The 5,067-nt window shown below is 40.2% G+C and overlaps 1 annotated feature.

Annotated features, from left to right (window-relative positions):
- Positions 244–962: an enhancer, noted in NCBI's record as "OCT4-NANOG hESC enhancer chr11:103552669-103553387 (GRCh37/hg19 assembly coordinates)". NCBI's record gives its function as "activates a minimal SCP1, AML or CMV promoter by ChIP-STARR-seq in naive and primed H9 embryonic stem cells {active_cell/tissue: H9 hESC(naive and primed)}" and the evidence as "EXISTENCE:reporter gene assay evidence [ECO:0000049][PMID:30033119]".

Raw genomic sequence — 5,067 nt, 5'->3', positions numbered from 1 at the left:
GCACTTGAGGAGCTGTAGGGATTTATACATTAGTTGAGCACAGAGTTGGTGTGTGAGGCTGCATGCTACCAAGACAGGAACATCCATCGGGTTTCAATGGCACCTTTAAATCACCCAGCACTGTGGGGCAACAGGCAGGACAACTGTCTGCATTCTGCTTCCTATGCAATTGTTTAGTCATGAGATGGCATGTTCTCTCCTTTTGCATTAAACAGCAGCTCCACTGAGGTTATAATAATCGTAGTGAACGTTTGTACCATGTGGTGCCACTAAAAAGCCTCTTTGCATGTTGTGCCTTCTACTGACCAGAGTTTCTGTGAGCCCAGCTCCTTCCGTGCTTCTTGCTCTGGGTGCACTGCCTGAGATTAGCACTCAGCTTTGTCTGGCAGTGGTAATTAGTGTGATGTGCTGTGATCACCCCCTGGTGTTGAGTCTGTGCAATAACAATAACATCTGACCTTGGTGTCAACTTCAAAGCAAATCGGCAAAAGCTAAAAGGTGGCTTGATCGACCTGGACTGCTGCGCATTAGAGTTTCAAAAGATAACATTACCACATAAATAGCCTGCCAGGGATGGAGGAGGGGTGAAAAGAGGCTCCGAGGTAAGAGGGTTTTTCTATAGGAATGTTCTACAATCATTTCAGCATTACACAGCAACTCTGTTGGTGGAGATTATAATAATCACACTGAACATTTGTATGGTGCAATGCCATTAGAAAGGCTCTTTCCGTGTTACAGTCATTTCCCACGATTTGGTGGTCTAAATATAAAGAACCACCAAATGCTTAGTGCTCAGTACTGTGCTACTCGTGCTGAAAAGGACACATGTGAGCGCATGACGGGTGGTATCTTCCAGGCTGCCTGCTGGAGCATCTGGTGGGGTGGTCACAGTCCTAATGACTGTGTGTGCCTCTCAGGCCTCACTCACGCTGCTGAAAAGATTGATTGAGAGGAATTAATCCCATCTAAAAAATAAACTTGAGGCCATTTACTAAACGTCACTAGGTCATACATCTGTCTATATGTCAAGTTAAAGGTTTGGGTAGAAAATTAGCACCAGGGTCTAGGCCTAGTTTTAACCACCAGTTTCCCCTCACTTGAGTACTGGGAGTTGCCTTAGCTAGGAATGTCTTGGTAATGTCTTCATCCTGGTATTATTCCAGAATCTCTTTGCCATACTGGTTTTAGGTCTTGATTCAAGTTTTTTTTGTCTATTTCTTACATTAATGTGGCTGTTTGCTGAGATTCTTAATACTCAAATTGTAAAGAGTCTCTGGTTGCTTCTAGCCTGAAATAAACAGAGCTGAAAAGGTAATTTCTGTTTTCCACTGTTACTCTTATCATCTCTGTTTCTAATTCCAATTGCGCAAAGACTCACAGCACAGAAAGTACAAAATGTGGAACTCCTAACTAGAACTACCAGATTTTCCCTGAGGGATGGGACCCACCCAGCTGAGAGCATGGACATAGTTGATTGGCTACACCTTCAGAGTCGAGGACCAGACCTGGGGGTTTGGAGAGGTCATCTATCTATTCATTTATACACACACACATGTAAACGTATATACATACACATACCCATGCACACATGATGTACATATGTGTATCACCTCAAGATGCTGTGTGAGGATTACATGGCAATACCTATAAACCACTTAGAATGATATTGGACACATAGTAAACCTGAATAAATGTCAGCTATTATTATTTATTCTTTATATATCAGTTCACATGTCATTTCCTCCTGGAAGCCTCCTCTGATCCTTGGCTAAGTTTAGCTTCCTTTATTGTGTGTTCTTTGAAGACGTCTGCCTTTCTTTTAAAGCATTGATATAATCTGAAACTTAGATCTGTAGTTTCACAGATGTCTCCTCACTCTACATTGCCAGCTCTGTTTTTTCCTATGACTGTATCTCTGGAGCCCAAACTCTGTTAGGTGGCCAGTAAATACTTGTCAGTTATTTTAGCTGAATGAATCTCTGAATCCCACTGAAAGTCTCCTGCTTAGCAGGGAATGAGGAAAGGGAAGGAAAGACATCTCTAACTAGAGGCTGAGAAGAAAACACAGTCTAGACTCAAACACTCTTCCTCTCTGGTTATTTTCAGCTTTCTAATCTGCAGCAGCTAAGCTTAAGAGCTGCTACCTCAGGACTAAAAACTTATAGCAGGGCATGGTGGCATGCACTTGTAGTCCCAGCTGCTTGGGAGGCTGAGCAAAGAGTACTACTTGAGCCCAGGAGTTTGATCAGTGAGCTATGATCGCACCATTGCACTCCAGCCTGGACAGCAGAACAAAACCTTTTCTCTAAAAATAAGTAAATAATAATTTTTAAGTGCCTTGCTTGGGGGTTGTGAGATCATTATTATTCAATTGCTTGGGGTTCAGTACACATGAGCCACAAATGTCCTCCAAAAACCCAGGCTCTGGGGCAGCCTGACCTTGAAGATGTAGGATAAGACTAAAATTGTCCATCCAATGTGTGGGTGTGGTTTTTGGGGTCCCTTTTCACACTCATATCATCTCTTTTAACCATAAGCAATAATTGTCTTCTCTCCAAAGATCAGATCAAGTGCTCAGTTGGTTCTTCCTCCCTGTGTCCCCCAAACCATCCAGGAGCAGGGGCTTGAAAGATTTACAACACTTTACACTACTTCAACAGCTATTTTAGGTGAGTTTTGGCTCTGGACTTTTAATTGCATTCCTTCATTCATACAGAATGGCCCAGCTTAGGTGTGAAAATTGCCTCTAAATGTGATTGGTATTGATGAAATTCCTATTTGGAATAAATAATACATAGACTACACAGGGAAAGGGATGATAGATAAAACAAATTCAGGCTAAAGCATGAAGACTCTCAGTTTCCTCTGAGCTATCTATACACTGCCCAAAAAGTTCCCCATGGGAAACCACTTATGGTCTTATAGGGAACGAGGACAAATTCTGAGGCCTTTGTAGCACCAGAGCATAGCCCTGAGATGAAAGAATCTGAGTGCTTTTAGTCATCCATGACTAGAAAGGAACTGGGACATAGTAGGTACCAATAAATATTTGATTAATTAATGAAAGTCCTTTAGACTAAAATCTCGTATATATTTGCTGTATGCTGATATACATTTTACAGTGAGATAATCATCTTCATCTTCATAACATGTATGAAATGATTGCTCTGCGTCCTGAGCTAGGCCTGCACACATCAACCAATTTAATTTTTGCAACAGTTCTATGACATAGGTGCTGTTAGTATCCTCATCTTACAGGTGAACAGATCAAGGCTCACAAAAATTAAGTCACTGGCCCAGGCTTGCACTAGCACTAGTAAGACTCAGATCTATGCGATTCCAAAGCCCAGGTTTTTGACTACTCTAACATAAGTAGCCTATGAATTAAGGAAACTCCCATAAAACATTAGGGTTCATAACTTAATAAATATGATCTTATTGCTGAATTTGTATTTCCCTTCATAATGCTCAAATTGACATTTTTTTAAAGATAAGGCTGGGCACGGTAGCTCATGCCTGTAATCCCAGCACTTTGGGAGGCCAAGGTGGGTGGATCACGAGATCAGGAGTTCTAGACAAGCCTGGCCAATATGGTGAAACCCCTTCTCTACTAAAAAAGATACAAAAATTAGCCGGGCATGGTGGCACACGCCTGTAGTCCCAGCTACTCGGGAGGCTGAGGCAGAAGAATCGCTTGAACTCAGGAGGCAGAGGTTGCAGTGAGCCGAGATTGCGCCACTGCACTCCAGTGGCACTCCAGCCTGGGCGACAGAGCAAGACTCTGTCTCAAAAAAAATAAAAAAAAAAATAAGGCTTTTCCAGTTAGTGGTTATTATTCCCTCTTAAAATTAGCAGGGTGATTTTAGAAATTATAATCAACCATCATTCTTTGCTTCTAACATAAAGAAGCATCTTTACATCTAGAGAGTAAAACATGAGAGGATGTACTAAGGTCTCTGTCAATTCTATCTTCACATGCTCAGCATCATCCCGTTTTCTATTAAATGTCCTTTGAGAGAAGTCACCTGCATAATTACCATAGGACCCCTGTCAACACTGAAAAGGATAAAACTCATTGTCTGGAACTTCTATGGCAGAGAGAGACAAATTATTATGACATTATGAATAACAGTGTCATTATTTGATCTGTGGCAAATTAAAAAACACAGGACAAAGTAACATAATTTAGAAAATCAAAGGTGCTGGAACCAGCATACAATACAAACTTTCCAAATCTAAGAATATGAGGGAGGTGCTAAAAAGGAGATCCCTGCTATAAATGGGCATGGGAAACTTTGGGGATAACGGATGTGTAGTGATGGTGCAATGATTTAATGGATGTGTCTATGTCTCAAAAGTTAGCAAATTGTATACTTTACAGCAAATATGTATGGTTTACTGTATGTTAACTACACCTCAATAAAATTATATGTTTAAAAAATCATATGAAATCAATCTCAGTTGGCTGAAGTTTTTGAAGCCATATATTAGAGAGATATATTTAAACCAATTAAGATAGCCCATGTATAACTCCATACTGGCATAGAACTTCACAGAATATGTTCAAATACTTTTTAAATTTTATTTCGCACCAATCCTGTACACTGGAAAATGAAACTTGGAAAAAATAAGTTACTAATTGAAGGTCCCGAACAAAGATGTTAGGTCATCTGACTGCAAATCTAATGTTCTCTTCTTTATATAAAAGCAGACTCCTCTGCTACTATGGCCTTCTTTTCAACAGCAATGCTTTTAAAAGCATAATTTTTTGTCAACATAACCCTGGTCAGAGTAAGACCCATAGCTTAACTTCACTATATTTGTACCATTGTAATTTCCAAATGGAGTTATTTACCTTGAAGTAAACAATAAAATGAAGCATTGAAGTTCATTTCTCAATATTCCCTTTTCACGGAGAGAGCCCAATTGCCAATAAACGTCTGTAAAAGAAATTGTGGCTATTTTCAAATAATTTGGAGAGTTTGTTATTTCATACAAGTCTAAAAGTGGGAGGCCAATGTCAGGGAGCCATTTGATAAAGGTAGTATCTGCAACCACAATGCCCAG

This window comes from Homo sapiens, chromosome 11 (assembly GCF_000001405.40).
Source record: "Homo sapiens chromosome 11, GRCh38.p14 Primary Assembly".
Taxonomy (NCBI): domain Eukaryota; kingdom Metazoa; phylum Chordata; class Mammalia; order Primates; family Hominidae; genus Homo; species Homo sapiens.
This window is presented reverse-complemented; position numbering and strand designations above follow the sequence as displayed.